We start from the raw sequence: 25,707 nt of genomic DNA on the forward strand, positions 1-25,707 counted from the left end.
TTCCCTTTCACAGTGGTGTTGACAGGGCCAAGAGGCAGCTAACCTTCTATTCCCACTGGCAGAAGCAGTCAGTGTTCCAATTCCCCTTGCCTGGTGGTTCCAATAAACCAAACAGAGAGCTGATCTTCCATTCTCCACTTGTTGAAACAGGCAGCTGTCTAACTGTAGGTAGGGGTGGTTTTGATGAGACCAAATAAGGAGCTTATTTTCTGTCCTCTGCTCAGTGGAAGTTGTGCCACTCTGATTCTCTTTTCTAAATAGTATTGGCAGAGTGAGCAGAGGGCTGATCTTTCATCCCCTGTCTGAAAGGAGTCAGCCATGCTCCAACTCTTTACTAAGTTAGTGTCACCTCAGCCCAGCAAGTAGCTAAACCATCTCCACCACCCCTACCTGGTAGCAGCAAGACTTAGTGAAGTGGTGCAAGGCAGGACTAGTCAGCACATTACATTCCCCCCGGCTCTGGCAGGGCCCCAGTCAGGAGCTGAAGCTCAACATCCACCCAATATTAACAAGACTAAACAAGGACACGAGAGTCAGGGCTCATCAGCACTTTACTTTACTCCAACCTCTGGTGTCAGTGGGACCAAGGAGGGAATGAACCTCTCCACTCTCTTCACAGCACAAGACCACATGAGGTGGTGTGTGTCAGGGTTAGTCTCCATTCTGTTCCCACCCCACCCTCACTAAGTGAGCAGGGCCTAGAGGGGAGCTGAGCCCCTACTCCCAGTGGTATTAGTGAGACTGTGTGCTAGGTGTTAGGGCCAATCAATACTCTACATCCTTTTTCCCTTTCTTGTGAATTGGACCCAGTTCACAAGAACTGGGAGAGTTCTGGAGAGAAGCAGAACCTTCTCTCACACCTGGCATCAATGAGGCAGAATAAGGTGATAGGAGGAGGGTTACTTGACACTCCATTCCCCACCTCCCCTGGTGTCACAGAGACCAGCAGGAAGCTCAGCTTCCACCCCTACCCTGCAGCAACAAAGTAGTGTGAACAAGCAATGAATTTTTCCCTTCCGTGGCTCAGTGGGGAGTTAGGAATATGTCACCATGAGGGGCAACAAGGCAGCAGCAATAGGCGGCCCGCTTTCACTGGGAAGGGGTCAACAGGGAAGCTGAAGTTTCACCCTACCCATCTGCTGCAGTGTGAGTCAGTGCTCCACTTCTGCTGGATGATGTTGGCAGTGACAACGGGGTGATGAATGAACATACACACCCACCTGGCCTCTGTGCACACCTCAATGTAAGGACAGCTTCTGAATAAAAAAAGAAGATGAATTTGGATCCAGAGTCTCATACTACGATACCCAAAACATCCAGGATATAATAAAAATCACTTGTCATACTAAGAACCATCAAAATAACAACTTGAATGAAAGAAGAAGATCAACAGATGCCATCAGTGATATGAATCATATGTTGGAATTATCAGGCAAGGATTTTAAACCAGATACAATAAAAATGCATCAACAAGCAATTGTGAATTCTTTCAAGCAAGAAAAAAAATGAGAGAAACCCCAGCATAGAAATAGAAGTTATATATATATATATATATATAAAAGATCCAAACGGAAACTAAATAACTGAAACATACAACCATTGAAACAAACTCAAACTTGCTATATGGGTTCAAGGGTAACAGGAAGATGACAGGATTCCTGAACCTGAAGGAAATCAAAAGAATTTACCTAATTTGAACAAATAAGAAAAGAGAGATTAAAAGGAAAAAAAAAAACTTGAAGAGAGCTTCAAGAACCAGTGAGTTAAAAACAAAAGAGTTAACATTTGTATAACTGGAATCCTAGAATAAGAGGAGAGAATGGCAGTGAAAATGTATTCAAGAAAGAATGTCTGAAAATACTGAAAATATGGCAAAAGACATTAACAAACACATGCAAGAAGCTGAGCAAATCTCATACAATAGGATAAAACCAAGGAAACTCATGCTAGGGCTTTCACTATTAAACTGCTAAATACAAAACAAGCAAAGAGAAAACCTTGAAAGCAGCCAGAGGAATGATGTAAAACTTATAAGTAAATACCAGTTCAAATGACAACAGATTTCTCATCTGAAAAATTAGAAGCCAGAAGGAGTGGCACAACATTTATCAAGTAATGAAAGCAATTAACTGTCAATCATAAATTTTATATCCAGCAAAAATATCCTTTCGGAATGAAGGAAAAATCAAGACACTCTCAGATGAGTGAAAAATAAGAGTATTTGTTTTCATCAAACCCATTCTTAAAGGATGACTAAAGGAAGTTCTTTAAATAGAAACAAAATGATAATAAAAGCTTCAGAACTTATAAAGAAAATAAGAATATCAGAATGAATAAAATTAGGGGGAAATAAGTTAGACTTTCCCTCTTATTAGTTTGCTAGATAATATTTCACGGTTGAAGCAAAAATTACAACTCAGTGTAATGTGATGCTCACTGTATGTAGGGGAAACACTTAAGACAATTATACTGAAAAGGTAGAATGAGTAAAGGACCTAAGTGGAAATAAAAGTACACTTTAATGGAAGTAGTAATATGTCCATGTCAGTAGATAAGTGACTTACATATACTTTAATACCTAGAGCCACTAAAAACACTATACAAAAAAGATATACCCAAAATGCTGTTAAAACACCAAGATAGAATCCTAAAATGTGTTCACGTAACCTACAGCAAGGTCAGAAAAGAGAAATGCAGAGACCCACAACAGACAAGAAATAGAAAAAATAAAATTGCACACATAAGGCTAGCATATCAGTAAGAATCTCAGATGTAAATGGTCTAAATATACAAATAAATGACAGAGATTAGCAGAGTGTATTAGAATATAAACTTAATTTTTAAAAAAGTATCCAAAAAATATGCTATCTGTACAACATTCACTTCATGGACATCAACACAGGTCAGTTGAAATTAGTAATCAGAAAAATATATCTGCAAACATTAATCAAAAGAAAAAAGGAATAACTAGTAACTATCAAATAGCATAGATTTCAGAACAAACCAAATATCTAGAGGTTAAGAGGGACATTACATAATGATAAAATGATATCTCCACTAGAAAGACCTAATGATCCTAAACATGTATGCACCTAACAACAGAACTTTAACATGCATGAAGCAAGACTGATACAGCTGAAAGGAGAAATAGATAAGCCCACAATTAAATCAGGGACGTCAACAGCAAACTCTCAGCAATTGATAGAACTAGTAAAAAGGACATCATTACAATATAGAATCACTCAAGAAAAGTATACAAAGTAGATGTACTTAGTTCTATTTATAAGAGAATTGGTTTTCTTCACACCTACTCTTAAATAATGACTAAAAGAAGTTCTTTAAATAGAAATAAAAAGATAACAGAAGATTTATATGTGTATGCATCTGTGTTTGTGTGCGTGTGTAAACACAAAACAAACTATACACATTAATTTCAAATACTTGTGAAACTTTCACCAAGATAGACTACATTCTGGCCTGTTAAAAAATCCTGAACAAATGTTAAAGAACTGAATTCACACTGAATGTGTTCTCTGATTGAAAATGATTCAAATTTGAAATCAATAACAGAATTATAATATTTAAAATCTCCAATTTATTTGAAACTAAACAATACATCTCTATATAACCCATGAGTCAAAAAGAAAGTTGTAAAAGAAAATTTTGAAAACCTCAAAGGAAATTTCAAAAACATAGAACTGAATGCACATGAAAATATAGCTGACCTTTGAACAACACAGGTTTGAACTACACAGATTCACTTATATACAAATTTTCTTCTGCCTTTGCCACCTGAGACAACAAGGCCAACCCTTCTTTCTCCTCCTCCTCAGCCTACTCAATGTGAAAATAATGAGCATGAAGACTTATATAATGATCCACTCCCACTTAATGAATAGTAAATATATATTTATCTTCCTTATAATTATCTTAACAATGTTTTCTTTCTCTATTTAATTATAAGAATACAGCACGTAAAACATATAACATGCAAAATATGTGTTAATGGACCATTTATCTTATTGGTAAGGCTTCCATTCAACAGTAGGCTATTAGTAGTTACATTTTGGGGTGGTCAAAAGTTAAATGCAAATTTTTAACTCCATCGGGAGTCAATACCCCAAGCCCTCATTTTGTCCAAGAGTCAAACATACAACATAATAAAATATGTCAGATGCTGCTAAAGCAGCGTGGAAGGGGAAATTTATTGCACTAAACTAAATTAAATACTAAATTAAATTACACATTAAATTACAACACTAAGCTAAATCTAATACTTATATGAGAAAAGAGGAAGGATCTTAAAACATTAAGTTTCTACCTCAAGAAACTAGAGAAAGAAGAGCAAATCAATTCAGCACTATATAAAAGGAATTGTATACTACATATACTATAATTGTATACTATGACCAAGTAGGATTTATTTCAGGTATGTAAGGTTGGTTCAACAATTGAAAATCAATCAGTGTAATCAACCACATTAATAGACTAAAGAAGAAAAATCATATAATCATATCAATTGAATCAGAAAATGCCTTGTGACAATATTTAATACTCAAAACTCCAAGAAATTAGGAATAGAGAGGAACTTCATTAATTTGATAAAGAACACTTACCCAAACAATCTACAGCTAACATCATACTTAATGGTGAAAGTTGAACTCTTTTTCTTCCTAAGATTAGGAACAAGAAGAGCAAGAATCTCTGCTCTTACCTTTCTTATTCAACATACTACTAAAAATTCTAGTCACTGCAGTAAGGAAAAAGAAATAAAAACTACATATTGGAAAGATTAAAAAAACTGCTCCAAATTCAGATGTCATGATTGTCTATGTAGAAAATTCCAACAAATAAAGAATTTCCAGAACTACTATAAATGTGAGTTCAGCAAAGTTTTGAAATACAAGATCACCCTAGAAAATTCATAACATTGCTATATACCAACAATAATCATGCAGAAGCCAAAATTTAAAACACAAAACCAATTACAATCACCAAAAAGAAAATGAAACACTTTATGGGTAAGCTCAACAAAACAGGTGCAGGATGTATGATATAGTTTGGCTGTGTCTCCACCCAAATATCATCTTGAACTGTATAATCCCCATAATCCCCACGTGTCTAGGGAGGCACCTGGCGGGAGGTGATTAGATCATGGGGGCAGTTTCCCACATGCTGTTCTCATGATAGTGAGTGAGTTCTCACGAGATCTGATGGCTTAATAAGGGGATCTTTCCCCTTCACACCTCACTCTTCTCTCTCCTGACGCCACGTGAGGAAGGTCCTTGCTTTCCCTTCACCTTCCACCATGATTGTAAGTTTCCTGAGGCCTCCCCAGCCATGTGAAACCAAGTCAATTAAACCTCTTTTCTTTATAAATTACCCAGTCTCTGGTAGTATCTTTATAGCAGGGTGAGAACAGACTAATACAATGTATGTGCTAAAAATTACAAAATGCCAATAAAAGAGGACCTAAATGGTGATACTTACACCATGTTTATATATTAGAGGACTCAATATAGTAAAAGATTTCAAATCACTCCAAATCCATCTATAGATATAATGCAATTCCTATCAAAATCTAAACAAGATATTTTGAAAACATCAACAAGCTTATTGTGAAATTTATATGGAAAATCATAGGCCCTAAAAGGTTTATTATTTTTTGTAATTGAAATAGCAGGATAAAGTAGAAGGAGTCGCTCTACTAGATATTATAGCTCACAGTACTCAAGAACATGTGGAATTGGTGGAAGGATATACATAGAATTCTGAAATAAATCAACATAAATATCTTCTACTAATTTTTGACAAATGTGCCAAAGCAATTCAGTGAAGGAAGGATATAGCCTTTTCAACTAAGGGCTATTTGGACATCCACTGCTCAAAACCAAATCTCACACCTTAAAAAAATATTAACTCAAAGTGAAACATAGGCTTTTTTTTTTTTTTTTTTTTTAAGACAGGGTCTCACTCTGTTGCCCAGGCTGGAGTGCAGTGGCATGATCTCTGCTCACAGCAGCCTCAACTTCCTGAGGTCAGGTGATCTTCCTTCCTCAGCTCCTGAGCAGTTGGGACTACAGGTGCACTCCACTATGCCTGGCTAATTGTTTTTGTATTTTTAGTAGAGACGAGGTTTCACCAAGTTGCCCAGGCTGGTCTCAAACTCCAGAGCTCAACTGATTCTCCCACCTCAGCCTCCCCCATAGGTGGAACTACAGACACACAGCACCATGCCCAGCCAATGTTTTGTAAAGAAAAGGTGCCCAGGCTGGTCTCAAACTCCAGAGCTCAACTGATTCTCCCACCTCAGCCTCCCCCATAGGTGGAACTACAGACACACAGCACCATGCCCAGCCAATTTTTCGTAAAGACAAGGTGCCCAGGCTGGTCTCGAAGTCCTGGGCTCAAGCAATTCACCCACCTCAGCATCCTGACGTGTGGGGATTACAGGCATGAGCCACCATGCCTGGCCTGAAACACATACTTAAATTTAACAATATAAAATAAAAAAAATCTTTTAGAAAAAATACTCAGGATTTAGGGTTAGGCAAGACTTCATAGACTTGACATGGAAAACACAATACATAAGAGGAAAGATTGATAAATTGGACCTAATCAATCTCAGCAAAACCCTGTAAAAAGAATAAAAACAGCAAGCTACAAATAAGCAATCAAATTAGAAAATGGGCAGAAGACATGGGGAGACATCACCGAATTGGACATATGAATGGTAAATAAGCACATGAAAATATGCTGAACACCATTAGTCATTAAAGAAATGCAAAATAAAACCACAGTGATATATTATCTATCAGAATGGCTAAAATGTTATTTTAAATAGTAAAATAAATGTAGCCTTTATTTTAAATGCTACAAAGGATGTGCACAATCTGGAGCACTCATACATCACTGGTGGGATTCTAAAATGGAACAGCCACTCTGGAAATGAGTTTCTTAAAACACACACATGCAACTGCCATACGCTATTGCACTCTTGAGCATTTATTCCAGAGAAACGAATATGTATGTTAACAAAAACATCCACACGAATGCTTTAACTGTGTTTGATACAACCCAAAACTAGAATTAACCTAGATGTCCTTCAATGGGTGAAGGGTTAAACAAACCATGGTACCCACATACCGTGGAATGCTATGCTGCAATAAGGTGGACTATCAATGCCCTTAACAACTTGAATGAATCCCCACGGAATTATGTTGAGTAAAAAAGAAAGAAACAATCCCAAAAGAGTACATATTGTGTGATGTCATGTATACAACATTTTGAAAAGACCAAATTTTAGAAATAGAGTACAAGTGAGTGGTTGCCAGAAGTTAGGGACACCTGTGGCAGCAGTAGGGGAAGGGAGACAGTGGGCATGGTTATAAAAAGGCAGCTTGAGGTGTCCTTGTAGGGATGGAACTTTTCTGCAACTCGGCTGTGGTGGATAAAATTTTAATAAAATCATATGGATCTAAACATATACACATAGGAATATATGAAAAATGGGAAATGTGAATAATATTGGTTATATTAATGTCCATATCCTGGTCGTAATATTGTACCATAGTTATAAAAGATGTTACTGATGAGAACAAATGAGTAAAGGGTACATGGGACTTCTGTATTATTTCTCACAAGTGCCTGTGAACCTACAATTATCTCAGGAAAAAGTTTAATTAAGAATAAACAAATAGGTGGATATGTTTATGCCACAGATTATGGTGATACTTTCATGGGCATATATTTATCTTTAGACTCATTAAGTTGCATACATGCAACATGGACAGACTTTTCTATGTCAATCAGACCTCAATAAAGTGGTTTTAAAAATATGCAAACCAACAAGCACTACCTATACTAGACCTCTCCAAGTTCGGTACTCCCCAGTTTTCAAAGTGTATGGGGTCTTGTGTTTCTTTAATATTTATAAATGCATCTTGCCACCTACCTTGTTCTCAGATTGTTGCAGGTATTTCAGAGGATTAAATTATAATGGTCACTAGTTTTCTCAATATATGTTCCCATAGATTTCATCTCATTTGCAGCTAATTCCTTTGATTGTCCTTTTCTACCTACCTTGTATTCAACCCAGACACTGAACACCACCCCTTTTTATAAATTCCCTAAAGTGCTAGCACTCCAAAATGGTTGCATGGAACATTTTGGCCAAATAACTGGAATAACACAATGGGTTTATATCCCAGACAAAAACAACCTAAAATTACCTACTATACATCCATAATGTAAACTTTCTTGGTCACCTCTACCACAGTGAAATTGGCATGGGCTGACTCTCCTTCTCAGGTTCCTTGGCTTTCCATCAAGGAAAACATGGGTCTTGAATTTTGCCCCAAATCCCTAGCTATGTCACATGACTTCCATCTCTCCTTCCTCTCCTCCTTCCTTCTTTTCTTGCTCTCTTCTGTCCTTCCCTCTTTCTTTCCCTTCCTCCCACCCCAGGTTGATAACAATTGAACACTAAGTATAAGCAAAACTGAACCAATTATTTCTTTGTCCTTCTAGAACACACTGTTTGACTTTTTTCAGAAGTATGTCATGTAATCATTAGAGAGCAGAATGAAATTGCTGTCTAACATAAGACATTACATATATTTATATATACATATTTGTAAATACTAATAATTTTTCACAGTTGTTGTTAAATAATTCTAAAATTAGCTAATCTATTAAAGCTTTTCATTCTTGGAAAAGTTGTCTTAATTTTTTTAATGTTAATTACTCTGTCTTTGGCTTATGTGGATATTTAAACTTGCCTTGAACATATGCCCTTATTATGCATCCAGGACACTACAGCTGCATAGAATACTTTTGAATGTTGCACTTTAGAGAAAGAAATGCCAAGGGAAACAGTAAGGAAAAATAAAACTACTCAAGTCCATGTTTAAATAAAGTCATAATCTCCATTCCACTACTGAGTGATACATTCCATAGACCAAATTCTGCCCTAGGTTATATGCACACTGTTCTTCCTGACGTTAGTGCGAATTGTTCATGTATAACTGAAGGCATCAGTTAGCCCTTTGGGCACAAAAATGACTATCCACAAAAAAAGCAAAAATAATTTAAGTCTTATTGTATTTGGCTTTTAGGTGAAAATGATATAATATAAATGACAATTCCATTAGATAATACAGGTTTCAAAAGCACTACCATCAAATCCCAACCATTACAAATTTGACAGAATTACCATAGTGGCATTTTCAAGACTAGAGATTGTTAAAAAAAAAAAAATCAGTGGACATTGGAACATAGTCTTCTATTTATAGCAATTTTCAATTTTAGTAGTATATGTGATATATGTCCCATATGATATTTGTATATATTTCCTTTTACATATATTATACAATTTATAGCTATTGGCTGAGAAACCACCATTTTCTAGCAGAAATTATTAATTGCTAATTCTTCTTCAAATATCAGTTTTCATGTTTAAATGTTAATTTATTCATGGCTTGCTGTAGGTCTTGATTGGAAGTGTTTCCATAGGGAAGTTTTCAATGAACTTAAATCTTTGCTATAAAATATTAGACTGATGATAACATTCAGACTGGCAAAAGGCAAACACTACAGTGTGACTTGTGATAATCTTCTTACACACACTAGCTAAACAAAACTCTTTTTAAGCGTATACATATATTGCGCATACAGTAGTCCCCCTTTATCCATTGAGGATATGTTGCAAGACTCCCAGTGAATGCCTGAAACCGTGGATATTACTGAACCCAATATATGCTATGTTTTTTCCTATACATACATACCCAAGATAAAGTTTAATTTTTATAAATTAGGCCCAGTAAGAGATTAACAATAACTATCAAAATAGAATAATTATAACAATACATTGTTCAGAATTTCATGGACAGAAGATACATTCTTACACTGAAGTTCTTAGTAATTTCAGCATATGATCTTTTCTCTTTCATTTGTTAAGTTGAGAGTGTTTACCTTTTCACTTAAAAGAGGGACTTTATGGCTTCTTGGCATAGCCAAATTGCCAGCATTACTATTATTGCACTTTGGGGCCATTAAGAAGTGAAATACAGTTTCCTTGAACACAAGTTACAACTGTGATACAGCAACAGCTGATCTGATTACTAAGAGAGCTACTATGTGACTGAAGGGCTAGGAGCATAGACAATATGGAGAAGCTGCTGGACAAAGGGATGCTTCACCTCCCAGGCAGGAGGTATGGTGACCACCTCACATGTCATCACACTACACAGAACAGCACCCAATTTAAAACTTATGAATTGTTTACTTCTGAAATTTTCCATTTGATATTTTCAGACTGTGGTTGACTGTGGGTGACAAACAACAGAAAGCAAAGCCAAGGGTAATGGAGTACTACTGTATACTAATGGCTACACAGTTTAATAACAGCTACTAAATAGATTTGATTAGAAGCAGGTGAAACAATCGCCACAAAAAGAATAAAATACCAGGAATACAGTTAACCAGGGAGGGGAAAGATCTGTACAATGAGAAATGCAAAGCACTGCTCAAATAAATCAGAGATGACACAAACAGATATCATTGGTTTGTGTGACATTCCATGCTCATGAATAGGAAGGACCAATATCGTTAAAATGGCCATATTGCCCAAAGCAATTTACAGATTCAGTGCTATTTCTATCAAACAAACAACGACATTCTTGGAATAACTAGAAAAAAACTTTTTAAATTCATATAAAACCAAAAATGAGCCCAAATAGACAGAGAATCCTACACAAAAATAACAAAGGTGGAGGCATTGCATTACTTGACTGCAAACTATACTACAGGGCTACAGTAAGCAAAACAGCATGAATCTGGTACAAAAACAGACACATAGACCGAAGAAAAAGAATAGAGAGCCCAGAAATAAGGCCATCACACCTACCACCATCTGATCTTTGAGAAAGCTGACAAAAACAAGCAATGGGGAAAGGACTCCCTATTCAATAAATGTTGGGATAACTGGCTAGCCATATGCAGAAGATTGAAACTGGACCCCTTCCTTATACCATATATAAAAATCAACTCAAGTTGGAATAAAGACTTAAACGTAAAACCCAAAACTAAAAGCCTGAAAGACAATCTAGGCAATAGCATTCTGGACATAGGAAATAGGAACAGGCAAAGATTTCACGACAGAGATGCCAAAAGCAATGACAAATGGGATCAAATTAAATTAAAGAGCTTCTGCACAGCAAAACGAACTATCAACAGAGTGAACAGATAACCTATAGAGTGAGAGAAAAGTTTTGCAAACTATACATCTGGCAAAGGTCTGATAGCTGGCCTCTATAACAAACTTCAACAAATCTACAAGAAAAAAACAACCCTATTAAAAAGTGGGCAAAGGACATAAATAGACCCTTTTCAAAAGAAGACATACATGTGGCCAACAAGCATATGATCGCTGATCATCAGAGCAATGTCAATCAAAACCACAATGAAAGATACCATCTCACATCAGTCAGAATGTCTGTTATTAAAAAGTCAAGAAACAACAGTGCTAGTGAGGTTGCAGAGAAAAAGGAATGCTTAATAGGCTGATGTTGGGAGTGTAAATTACTTCAACCATTACAGAAAACAGTGTGACAATTCCTCAAAGACCAAAAAAAACAGAACTACCATTATACCCAGCAATTCCATTCCTGCGTATATATCCAAAGGAATCTGAGTCATTCTATCATAAAGACGCATGCACATGTATATTCGTTGCAGCACTGTTCACAATAGCAAAGATATGGAACCAACCTAAATGCTCATCAATGGTAGACTGATATTTTCTTTTGTTACACCTTTTTAAATCCATCAGGGAAGGAAGAAAGAAAGAAATAATGCCTGCGCCCCACCTAGACCAATGAAGACATAAAGGGATATGGACATCAGAATATTTTTTAAAGTTTCTCAATAATGCTAATAATTTCTATAGTTGAGAATTATTACCCTAAACTGGAATCTAATTCATATGTGCTCCACATCCAAAATCTGATTCTCTTCCAGTATTTCTATTTGAGAAAAAGAAATCACTGTACCTGCAATTACATAAGCCAGAAAGCTGGGATTCATCAACTCCCTTTCCCTCATATTACATATTCCTTCATCAACAAGCCCTTTAATTTAATTCTTAAACTCCTCTCAAAGCTGACCATTCATTTGCATATTCACTATTGTCTTCATGCTGTAAGTAAGTAACACTTACATCTGACTTGGTCCATGAAAATACCATAACAACCCTTCACACTTGTCTTCAAGCAAACCATTCTCCCTCACTGCAGCCAAAGTGATCTTTAGGAAAAAATAATCTGTGCATATCATACGTTTTCCTTCCTTATCCTCATCCCTCATCTCCTGTCCTTCACATAAAACAGTTCAATAGAGTTCCATTTAAAAAAAAAATCTTAACATATCCAGTGATTCTCTTTAACACATAGCCTCTTCCTACTGTTCTGTCCTCATTTCACACCATGTCCCACTTTGCCAGCGACACTCTAACCACTTTGGTTTTTTAGTCTATGTAACATATTTCTTTTTATACAAGGGCATTTACACTATTTGCTATGCATTTATGGAATGTTCTTATCAATTCTCTTTGCCCAGTTGGATCCTATGCATTCTTTTGAATAAATCTTACTATCAGTTGAACTGTGTCCCATCAAAAGTCATACTGAAGCCCTAACCCTATGTGCCTGTGACTCTGACCTTATTTGGGTAGTGTCTTTTTGGATGTAATTGTTAAGATGAGTCCTACCGAATTAGGAAGAATCCTAATCCAGTACAACTGATGTCCTTATAAGAAGAGAAGACACACACGATCAGAGGAGAGGACCATATGATAATGCAGACAGAGGCTGGAGTGATGTAGCTACAAGCTAAGGAGCATCAAGGATTGCTGCCAGCTCTGTTTCTCATGCAGTGGGTGGTGGCTACACTGGGCACTCCTCTTTTCTTTTCTGGGTTCCCGGCCTTGCTGTGGGCAGACAAACCCCAGGAGGTAGCACAATCACATACTCTGGTGTCTGTGCAAACACCAGATGCTGGAAGAGACAAGGAAGGATTCTAGAGGTTTCAGAAAGAGCATGGCCCTTCTAACAACTTGATTTCAGCTTTCTAGCCTCCAGAACTCTTCAACAATGAATTAACTGTTGTGTTAAGCCACCAGTTTGTGATAATTTTTTAGTACAGGCCTAGAAAACTAATACACATATTCAATAACATTTACTCAAGGAAGCTTTTCTTGACTTCAGTGGTTTGACCAAATCATTCTTCATGTGATCATGTAGCACTTACCACAATTATAATTTTGCCTTTATTTGTGTAATTATTTGATTGCTTATCCTCTGAAGAGACTGTAAGCTCCTTCATAGCAGGAAGTTATAGGCTATAAAGTGTTTTAGTAGACAATATTTTCTTTATATGTTCAAATTTATGGTGTAAGCTAAATAGGCCAAGTTTGTTTGTTTCCAATTTGTAATGGGTATCCTAACATTTTGAGGAGTTACATAGTTTTCCCAGGGTTGCACAATTTTTTACTAAAAGGTCAAGAATTAAAGCCTTGCCTTCTGCTTAAATATTGCATTTTAAAATCACATGCAAAAAACGTACAGAGAATAATTACTTTTTTACTTGGATGGTTTTACCTCTTCCATAATAAAGTAGGAAGTGCTTCCTTCTTTGTATTTTATTGTAATAAGGGTTGATTCTATAAGGCATGGGTCAGGTGATCAGGCTGGCTTAAGGGAAATATTCTTTCTTTAAGCCATTGTAGTCTATCGCAACTGCCATAAAACATGAAAATATTGCGCAGAACTTTATACAAAATTACATTCTGTTGTACATTTAAATTGCTTGTATCAATGAGGGGTATAGTTAAAAAATATATTGACTTTAATTATTTGTATAAATCATGTAAATATCTGAAGCATTGAAAATATTTATATTACAAATATGTATAAATATACAAAATTATATTTACATTATAAATATATGTTTTCAGTTCTTTTGGGATTCTGTGCCTTTTTTTTTTGGTTTGGAGAATTTTAAAAACTATTATTTAGATCTGCTCAGTGACCCATGTTCATGGCAAGTTATTACTTTTAGTTTAAGGTCAGAGAAGCTTGGGACTATAAATGTAGGCAGGTAGTTTAAATTTCCTAAGGCTAATTTTTTAAAATCTCTGTCATGGAGATAATATAAGTCAGTGGCACAGAGCTATTATTAACACTATATTAAACATGTTACAAGCATGTCACTATTTCATTGTATAACTGCAAATATGTAACATGTTTAATATAGTGCACATAAATCAATGATTAATAGCAGCTATGATAATTTGTAACTGATTGTTCTGAAAAACTTCATTATATTCTATTGATCTTAATTTATTTTGAATAACCCAAAACTATTCAACTAACTTGAGCTGTTAACCCAGCTGGCTAGATATAAAGAGAAGGCTTTGCACAAAGAAACATTTAGCACACATATGCATGCATACTTACACACACATACACACACACACAGAGTCAGAGCTAAATGCAATGATATATTAAAGAAATAATATGGGTTGAGATTCTCTTAGAATGGGAGTGGGGCTGGGATGGTATTCCTATGACAATTCTATGCCATAAAGCTTACTGAACTGAATGAGGAGGCTTCCATAAGGTGACATGGATGTTTTATGTTCCCTCAATCAATAGGAACATGGAAACACCTTTATAAAGTGTGCACATGGGCATACAGTTCAGAGATTAATTGAGAGACTTGGTTTATCTATTCTAACAAATGTTGGTTAAATTGCATTTTGTTTTCCTCCAGAACTATCAATAGTTTTTCTTTCTTAGATTGAATACATAAATCAAAAGAGCATACTTCATGAACTGTGATTATGAAACTCCTATCCTTCATATATTGATTCCTAAAACTTTATTTACCCATGCATTTTTTTCTTCATTGTATCATATTAGAACTGCTCTTTTTCACACTATTGTAGCTAGAGTCATCTATGGCTCTTGAATTGTCAATGTATCAAGGAGCCCTGAAAATAGCATAGAAAATGTGAACAAGCCCAATGCTAAATCATTTCTTGGTTCCACAGCTGTAGTATTTCATCAGCTTCAAATCGTAGTAATTGTTTTACTGCAATTCTGCATAATTACTAGAAGGATGACTATACTGATGATTCTTTGACACTATTTGGGCTATAAAATGTGTGGAACTGCTTAAGGCAAAATATATTGTCAAAGAAAACCCTAAAGTTTTACTTTTAAATGAAATGCCACTAAACACATATACTTATTTCCATATTGTTTTACCTACCAATCCATAACGAAATGCTAAAGTAAATTTTTTTACATATTTCAAAACTTTTATAAGAGTAACCAAAGGAAATCTTATAACTACAGCATGTGCTGATTTAATATGAAAACTAAGCTTTAAAAATTTTGCTAATATGATCAGTGTTCCCTATATGATAATAAAAACTATGAATTGATTTTTTCTAGTTTTAGTATAAAAAATGACACAATGAATTTTAGCTTGATATAATTTGAAATAGCCAATATATTAAACCCCAAAGTAAAATTTCAATTGGCAATCCTGTCAGATTCAAGTCCATAAATGAATATTAATTTAAACACTAATCATTTTCCAACAGATTGACACTTTAAAATGCTAGTTTTGGAATAAAAGCTGTGAGATTCATTACCATAGCAATATTGAGCATATTGTCTATTTGTTTGTTTAGGAAATTCGATTTCCAATTTTGGTATGTCTGGATTTCCTGACATCTTTTCCCCCAGATATTTAATTATTTAAAATAATTTTTTTTCTGATTTTGGTAAATTAGAATTCTGATTTTACTGATGGAAAGCTGATACAAGTGAACTGTCTGAGATAAAGCATAAGTTGAGATCTGCTAATTAATTTTATGCCACCAGGTATAAGCTAACCAGTAAAAAATCACTATAAGCAACGAACTAAAATTCTGGTTTCTGGGCCATTCCACGAATAGAGTTGTATGTTTTATTTTTTCACATGCACAGAAACACACACACTATATAAATTCATCAATTTGTGGCCATTTGGAAGATGGGTGAAAATCCACATATACATAAAGTGCAGGTTTGTAGTTTGAAACTTGACTAAACAAGATTATTAATCATTTGTTCTGTCCTATGCCCAGCATGATAAAAGTCCCTAATCCCCAAATTAAATGGAGTTTAGATGCATTATATAATCATGCAACAGTAAGTTACATTTTATACTAAAATATTTTTTCTGGAAATGTTCTTGCAGTTATACAATGGAATAGTAACAATCTACATTTCTCTATATTTTGTCCAGAAAATCTAGCAAAAAAATGTTTTTATGTAAATGCCAAGCAGCATGGGAGAAGAGAAAAAAAGCACAAGACTGATCATTGGTTAATGGGGCTGGCTCTGTCACTTACTACCTAAATAACCCTACACAACTCAACAGCTTGCCATACTTTAATGACTTGTGCTACACTCCACACTCCACTTACTTGTTTATGAAGAATTCAAAAGGCCCTCATTTTGTTCATCTAGTTCAATCTTCTTATGTAAATAGGAAAACTGAGTCAAATGACTCAGTTTGAGACGTCAAGGCGGGCAGGGTATAGGTGTGAGCCACTGTGCCCAGCTTCCATTACTTCTTATAACAACGTTTAAGCAATTAGTACATTCCTTATTAAACAACTATCATATGGATTCCTATAAATTTTATTCTTAAGACTACAGAGTAGCATAACCTAAATCAGATTTCCCAACTCCTAATCTCCTGTCCTTCCTGTCACTTTTTTTTTTTTTTTTTTTTTTTTTCAGACAGGATCTTGCTCTTTCGCCCAGGCTGGAATGCAGTGGCATGATCATGGGTCACTGAAGCCTTGACTTCCAGGCTTAGGTGATCTTTTCACTTTAGCCCCAACCTCCTGAGTAGCTGGGTCTACAGACACGCACCATCACACCTGGCTAATTTTTTTAGGGTGTTTTTTCGTAGAGATGAGGTTTTGCCATGTTGCCCAGGCTGGCCTCGAACTCCTGGTTCGAGCTATCCGTTCACTTCTACCTCCCAAAATGCTGGGATTACAGGCATGAACCACTGCGCCTGGCCTCCATTATTTCTTATAACAACTTTTGAGTAATCAGTACATTCCTTTTTCAAAATCTAGGCTGGGCACTCTGGCTCATGCCTGTAATACCATCACTTTGGGAGGCCAAGGCAGGTGGATCACCTGAGGTCAGGAATTCGAGACCAGCCTGGCCAACAATGGTGAAACTCCTTCTCTACTAAAAATACAAAAAATTAGCCAGTGTGGTTGTAGGCACCTGTAATCTCAGCTACTTGGGAGGCTGAGGCAGGATAATCTCTTGAACTCAGGAGACGGAGGTTGCAGTGAGCCAAGATCATGCCATTGCACTCCAGCCTGGGCAACAAGGGAGAAACTCTGTCTCAAAAAAAAATCTATAATATGGATTTTTATAAATTTCATAATACCTTAAACATATTCAGACTGTTGTCCAATATAAAGGAACCTTATATAGAGCTCCATTTTAGAGTAAATAATTGCTCTTTAATTTTCATTTGAATAAATCCAGATTCCCATAATGCTGCATACCCCTCAAATATTTAATAAGTGCTAGATGATTAAATGACAGATCTGAATGGTTTTCTAACATTTTGTGACTGCCTAGTTCTGTAGTTTTAATATAAAATGCAGAATAGTTTAAAACTTATGCAAAAAAATAAATAAAAGAGTGTACAAATCGAAAAGGACAAGTTTTCTCTTGATAGTCAAACAGTTATGAAATAAAGCAGTCTCATTAAATCATAAGTACTTTAACCTTTTCTTGAAAGAAGAGAAAGATTTAAAGATTCATGAAGAAATTTTGCCTAAACTAGTAAATGACTCATATTTGACATGTATTGAAATGATAATGCTGATTTCAGTAGGCACTCTAAGAGCATTTTATCCCCAAGGGAGTAATTCAGTCATGGTTACCGCTCTGCATTTAGATTTTAAACTTTCTTTGTGAAGCTTTTAATGTACTACTGCCTGCCAAAACATGGCACAGTTTCACAGATAACACAAAATAAAGGCAAGTAAAGATAATTTTTTTGTCATTGTTGATACAAAAATATGCAACAAACATATCTATTTGGCATCTTCTGCAAAGATGGCACTGTCTTTAAAAGTTTCTATTTCTACGTTTTTAATATTAAAACCCAATTCTGTAGGACTGGTCAGTGGGCAGAATGGAGACTTCAAGACAATGGAAACTTCAAGACTAGGACAAATTGGTCTCCTATCTGTTAACTACTGAACACATGGAGAATAAGCATTGAGAATCAGAAACCATCATGTCCTATGCACAAGGCTTGACGTCAGACATGACGTCCCCTTTGTGTATCATTTCAACCCTAGTTGTGTATGAAAACTCTGACCCCTGCCAATCACATTTGCTAAACTCATATCTTAGTATCTGAAAGCCAAAACAATGAACAATTATCAAGACCCTCTGAGGACGCACACTCATTATCTGCTTCAAGATTAAAAAAAAAAAAAAAAGTGAGAAATCAAAGATAATTTTTATAAAATGAACAAGGATGTAAATGTCCTCTAGTTCAAATGAGGTTCACATGAGCCACTGGATGGATGCTCATATGAGAGCTCATACTGGAAACTGTGGTACCCAGCACCCCAAGTTACATGATTTGGCTCTGTGTCCCCACCCAAACCTCATGTCCAATTGTAATCCCCAGCTTTGGTGGTGGGGCCTGATGGGAGGTTATTGGAACATGTAGACGTTTTCTCATCAGTACTTTAACACCATCCACCTAGTGCTAGTCTCCTGATAGAATTCTCATGAGATCTGGTGGTTTAAAAGTGTGAAGTACCTCCCTTTCTTTCTTTTCCTCCCTATTCTGGCCACATGAAGTGCTTGCTCAGCCTTTGTCTGCTGCCGTGATTGTAAGTTTTCTAAGGTCTCCCCAGAAGCTGAGCAGATGCCAGAATCATGCTTCCTGTATAGCCCACAGAACCATGAGCCAATTGAACCTCTTTTCTTTATAATAAATTACCCAGTCTCCGGTATTTTTTATAGTAGTGGAAGAATGGACTAATACACCTGGTTTGAAAGGCAGGTGTGGCTTTAACTGTATTGGGCCATTCCAGTGCCCTGAAAAAACAAAAGGATGAACTGTGCCTCTCTTCTGGAGACTGTAAATACCAGACATGTCACAGCTCTCTCAGCCTTTAGCAGCTTCTAAGGCTCATACAAACTGTGGTTGACAACTAAAATAATAATATAACACCTTTTGAGTGCCTCAAGTGTAAAGTTCATTAGTTCTAAGGTCACCATTTTAATGCAACAGACAAATTTTATTCACATCATCAGCTGCTGAGAAAGACAGATGTAAAAATCAAGCTGGGGTATTAATACATCCATGACTAGTAAAATTAGTACCAGACATCAAATGAGCCCTTACACATTTTTAAACAAAATAGAATATACGAACCCAAGAAAACAAAAATTTTCTGAGGATATTACAATTACAGATAGCATTGTCTTTAAGTTTCTGTGAGAGCTTTTACAGCAATTTTGGGGGAGGAAATGCTAGTATATCAAGAGATACATCATTAGGTCATTTAAATATTTTTCTTCTTTAGTTGTCATTTATACACACCTGAAATCTAAAAGATACTGCTGCAGATTTTGTGAGTAGATGCCATTTAAAAGAGAGAAAGGAAGACAAATCCTTGTGTTTAACCAAATGTTAAATATTTTTTATTTTACTCACCTGCACACTAAGATGAATCCATTTCTTCACAAGAATTCTCCCCAGTGTCATTACTTTTATTGGAGGTTGCAAACCATTTACTGTGCGATAATAAAACATGGTCTCTTTCTCAGATATTGTAAGTTTGAACACAATCTGCCCATCTACTGTCTTTTCTATAACACACCTTAGGAAGCAACCGGAAAAGAGAGAAAAGGTCAGCATCCAACCAAAAAGACATGCTAAGGTATTGTGCAGTTACAGTGGTGTTAAAATGACCTCAAACTTTGCTCAAAATGGTGTACTATGAATAAGTGCCTGAATGTCATTATATTCAATGAAAGCTTTATTCCAATGAAGAAGCCCCTTTATTTCAATAAAAAATAGAATTCTTATTTACAATATATTCCCCAGAGCCTCAGCACCCTTCATTAGAGATTCATGATGGAAACTAAAGTGGTTGAATCATTCTGCAAAACTAACATTTAGGTTATTGGCTCATTAGTTCTCCTGCTATTTCTTTTAGAGGAAGTGGTACAACACACTACAGGCCGCTTGAGTATTAAGTCATCAGTGCAAAAATTTTTTTTTAATGTAAAGCAAATTTAGTGTCCATGGAAGGCTCTAAATTGGTAGCCCTGAAGTCAGAATCACTCTATTTAATTCCCATGGTGAAATGAAGAATGGACAGCTATAGTCTCTACTCACCCCATCATCAACTGGCACAAAGCCAAAGCCAGTGTCTGTAAGATGACTGGCTACCTCTCCATGACCGTACAGTCCAACTGAGGTACTGAGATCATGTTAAATATCTGAGGTGAAAGGTCCTTCAGCCTTCTAGAACACAGTGAAATAAGATTTTGAAAAACTAGAAGAGTTTTCAGAAAACTTCCAGGTCTTGTGTCAGGGCAGTTATCAAATTATTTTAAGTTATCTCTACCCTTATTAGAGTGACACACCTTTCAGACCTTGAGGTCTCTTCTTCACCTGGTTACCTCCTACTTAGCTTTGGTATCTGAATGATTATGCTTGGTCCTGGCACCCTTCTTCCTGCTCAGGGTCGGTTGAGGGGTCTCACTTTGTGCTCACTTAACACACTGTGCTGCCTAGGTAATAACACTCATCCATCTGTACACTCCATTAGATCATTTAGATCATGAGTATTCTGAGGATACACACACAAACACCTAGGATACAGTAGTCTCTCAAAAAATGATGAGTTTGTGATCAAATTTGGTAGGAAGTATCAGAGAGGCAAATGTATAAAATTGAGCCAATCAAGAATTACTGCTAAAGATGGTTTAAAGCTTTCCTTAAAGGGCATGTTTTTCACACATAATTTCTTCTCACTTGCATCTATCACTTGCATCTATTTTTTTCCTGAGTTGGGAGGTAAGAATAAGATTGTAAAACACTAATAGTCCCTCATTTACTGTCACAATTTTACTATATTTTGTATGTATATTTGGTATAAAGTTATGAGTGCAAGTATATTTTTAATTTAGGCAAATAGATTTAGATGACATAAAGGTTTTATATAAGTAGAAATAAAAGTTTTATATAAATTCTACTGCAAATTATATTTTTAACCCTTCAGTAGTTGAATATTTCTAATTTACTGAAGTGAATTTGTTTTTATCCCTACCCATCAGGTCTTAACCTGAAAAGAGTTTGCCCCTATTCATTTTTCTTCTGTTTAAATCTACAAGTGAGAATTCGACCATTACTCAAGAATGTATTTACCAAATGCAGACTTATTTTCCCAAGCTTACTGAAAATGCATTTCTTAATATGTTATTGATTATCTTCCTTGCTATTTTGTTTGCTTGTAAACATACTAGCTTTGGTAGATAATAAATGTGAGAGGAAGGCAGGTAGCAAAATATTTAGGAACTGGATTTATTCTGCTCCTGAATAAACAATAATTGGATAATCCATGTTTTGTTTGTTTTACTTATCTAGTGCAAACACCCCGAAATTCCCCCAATTCCCAAAGGTATTTTAATTTTGAAAATGGAAACGACCTTGATACAAGGAACTCTCAAAACCATTAACCATGTTCTTCCAACCCTGTAAATACTTCTCTGTCTTATTTATACAAAATGATGTCAATAGAAGATGAATTTGGTACAGATATGTCCCTACAAGCTCAGAAGGATATTTTATCTTAGCCCTATTTGTCAAAAGACAATGTTTTAAGACTCTTCAGATGTTAATTATATAAACTGAGTAGCTTGAATTTACTAGAATTTCAAACAGTAAGAAAACAAGGTTTTCTTTGAGGAGAGATGTAGAAATGGGAATGGTTTGTGATTAATTTTGTGATTAATCCAAATTTAAAACAAAATGAAGACATGCCAACTTTCACTTGGCAAATTGAAACTAAACACCAAAAACATTTAAGTCCTATTTGCTTATGAGATTGTAATCCTTTTCTGGTTTGTTTCACAAGTTTTTAGATATCCAGCCAACGCTGTCACACACAGAAAATGTCACAAGAGAAAGGGCCAAAAGCCCTCTAGGAAGAAAAAAGATAAGCAAAAATTCCTCAAAACTGTCCTGTATATTAAAATCTCCAGGTTGGCAATAAATATTTAGAAGAAACTCATTAGATATCAGCTTGAGAAAAGATTACAGAATGAAAAACTGGTGATTAAATAACAAAAAATGGCAGTAATAAGACCCAGACTCATTGAAGGCATTTCTCTGGGATGAACAGCATGAAAGCTTTTGAGAATCTCTCACACTTACCTACATATTTCCTAACTAATTGGAAAATGAAAATACCACAAGATAAAGAACTAAAAGCTATATGTTTTTAGAGATGGAGGGTTATTTATATATTCAATTTATATTACTGAACATCTTCCATGAGTCAAACAAACAGCTCTTCTTGGGGAAACGAGGATGAAGAAAACAGTCCCAAGGACTGGGAGAACTATCTGCCTAATGAAAATGTTATACCCTAGTAAGGAAATGTTGATTATATAAACCCAGTTCAAGATTTTGAAAATATTAATTATTTGTATTAATTACAAGTTTCCATGCCTTAAAACTCACTCTGAGTCTTCTTTAGGCTTTGAAGGCTAAGACCAAAGGTCGCGCTAAGCTATAGAAAATAAATGATTCCTGCATAAACACATTTGCCTTTGATAAACTATTTTCACATTTTTTTTCATGGTCCATTTCATCCATAGAAGAGAAAAAAATTTTAATTGGGGAAACAACTGGAAGAGTTAGTCTTCAATACCATGAATTCTATATAGCCTTCACTTCCGGTTTGGAATTCAGGCTGAAATGATCTTCACTACTACTGGTTTTGGGGACCTATGAAAGCTTATACCTACACTACTACTTACATTACACCTTGTTGCTCAGGTTTCAGCCATACAGCTAAGGTAAATGATGCCATCAGCTTTGGAGAAGGAGGAGAAGAAAAGCAGCTCTTGTGATTTCCAAAAATAAAACTTGCAGAATTGCTATGGGCGTTAGGATGCAGATCATTCTTGTCTGGTGTGATGCAGCTACTGAGGCCTGCTGAGAAAAGGGCAGTGTAGGTAGGGTGTGAAGATCTGTATGGGCAATCCTGAATACAAAACCGCTGGGTACAGAACTGAATACTTTCAGCAGCAGCAGAGCTGTGACAAAAAGTGCTTCGGTCTGGGAGTCCACATACTGCTTGGGTTGGCACGATGGAAACTTTCTTGAAAGCTCCCACGTTCTCCAGCCTTGGGAAAAGACCTCGTGACTCAGTCAAGGATATTGAAGCAAAATAGGCAAAGATCAACATTTCAATGACCTGAAACAAGAAGCCAGAGCCCAATGAAAGAACTGGGCAATTCATGTTTACAAAAAAGCATTCTCCTCCTGATAAAGCATTTCTAAATAAATAATCAGGCCCACGCCACTTGCCAGCAATACTTTGAAGCAGGGTACTTTAAGTGATGTTGCGATACTCCATTTTCTGGAAACTGCAGACACGTTCTCAGAGTAAGGTAATACCAACGACGTTCTTAGCAATGGCGAAGACATGAGTAGCTGCTGGTATCTGGGAATCAAAAACGTAGGGCGTCAAGGGAAAGCTGCTGCACCTTTAAAACTGAAGCTCATCCCAGGCCTGAGGACTTTGAGCTCCTAGAAGCAACACTACTGAACTTCTCAAAAAACATTTTGAAGCACAGTGCTCAGAGTAAAATACTCATCCTTTTGGTAAATCTCTTGATTGCATTGGGCAAATCAAGCACTTTATAAGTCCACAGGACAACCAGTAATATTTATAACCAGTTATACATAAATATTTATATAATATATGTGTGTGTTTTATATATATATAATTATTAATAATATATTACACATACAATAATTTTGTGTTGTTACTTCACCCCAGGGAATTAGCAATGGCATTACCAGCTCTACTTAACAGGGAAAAGAATCTTGTAGATTTTCTTTACACATGCACTGTACATTGTAACCCAGAGCTAACTTACAGATGCCCAAAATAAAGCTGGCAAAGGACTTTGGGCCTTTCCCCTTATCCCAGCATGTGCAGCAACTTTAAGCTCAGAGTAAAGCTGATTAGAAACCCAACACCATCTGTCTGTCCTATGCTTTAATATTTAGCAAAATGTTTCTGTGTTTCCTCATATGACTATGAATTTGTAGGTTACACATGGATCCCTAATACTGTGCAAGTAATTGTATTGATAAATAAGCTGAGTTACCATTTCTTTATTGCATTTCAACCAGTCCCCTCAGTGTGACAAATGGCTCTTCAACAGGACCGCTGTCCCTCGTTGCCTGGCAACGCTGCTGTAACCCCTGGTTACTCAGCAAATAGGCTGTAGCAGCAGGAATGCTGGAAGGAAGACTTGGGTGCCCAGGTAAAGTATTCTGCAGAGCAAACACTTGGTTACCTGAAGCTCAGAGCGTGGTCTGCTTGGTGGCCCTCTTGGAACTGAGCTGCCCAAGCTTTCCGCTGGTACCTCAAGCAGTGGGAGGGACCTGGATGGGATCATGCATACATAATTTTAAAGTAGCAGTACACCTTATCCTATAATCCCCCCTCTTGCCCCTCCTCTTTCTTGCTCTCATGCACCTCAATCCATTTAATTCCTTAATCAAAATGATCTACCACTATTAAACACCACACAAGGAATAATTTCCAGTGCTCTTTCTTTTTGGGGGAGAAGAGGATACAAAATGGAATTCTAAACTTTTATATATTGATGCTCCCAAAGCTTGGCCCATTGATAGAAGTTTCGGTTGACTATTCAGTTGTTGCTGTACCTTTCACCCAGGATAACCTCTCCATAATACATGCTTCCTTACATTATGAGTAGCATCTGATGTGATCTCTAAATGTTGGGTTTGGAAAATCAGTGACTTTAATTAAACTAAAGAAGCAATGGGATTGCTGACTTTTTGGCTGCTTAATTGGATAGGAACGTGTGTGTGTGTGTATATGTGCACATTTGCCACCAATTCTATAGAGTTTCAATTATATCCAAAACTCTCTCTACTCTGCCATCTGGGACATCTCATCCTAGATGAGAAATATTCTAAATCAGCTAATACTTGTAGCTTTCCCTTTGTATTGTAAAAATGGAAAATTTGTTTGGGAAATAACTGGTCGATTGTGATTTTGTTCTCTATAAGTTATCTTTTTTATAGAAATGTTTAGAAATGAGAGAAATGTTTCATGGTGTTTCTTGTTAGTAAAGCAGCCAGAGAAAAACCAACATTGTTCTTTATTAGATTCCCTTTTATTTCTCTCCCAGAAGAGAGCTGGAAACCACAACCCATTTATATATCAATTTTATCAATTAGCATTAGTTGCTTCCAGAAGAAGCCTTTCTCACCCTTTGTCAAAATACGCTATTACATTCTTACCAGAAA

At 36.0% G+C, this 25,707-nt stretch overlaps 1 protein-coding gene across 2 annotated transcripts in view; it reads right to left on the bottom strand.

Moving 5' to 3' along the window:
• USH2A (usherin) overlaps positions 1–24,768 on the bottom strand; it is an 800,558-nt gene extending 775,790 nt beyond the window's left edge. For both annotated transcript variants that reach the window (NM_206933.4, NM_007123.6), the window contains exons 1-3: positions 24,534–24,768; positions 23,172–23,860; positions 19,834–19,999 (exon numbers count right to left, since the gene is read on the bottom strand). In NM_206933.4, coding sequence (NP_996816.3) covers positions 19,834–19,999; positions 23,172–23,656 — 651 coding nt within the window. In that variant the 5' untranslated portion in view covers positions 23,657–23,860; positions 24,534–24,768. The remainder of the gene's footprint in view (positions 1–19,833; positions 20,000–23,171; positions 23,861–24,533) is intronic.

This window comes from Homo sapiens, chromosome 1 (genome assembly GCF_000001405.40).
Source record: "Homo sapiens chromosome 1, GRCh38.p14 Primary Assembly".
Classification (NCBI taxonomy): domain Eukaryota; kingdom Metazoa; phylum Chordata; class Mammalia; order Primates; family Hominidae; genus Homo; species Homo sapiens.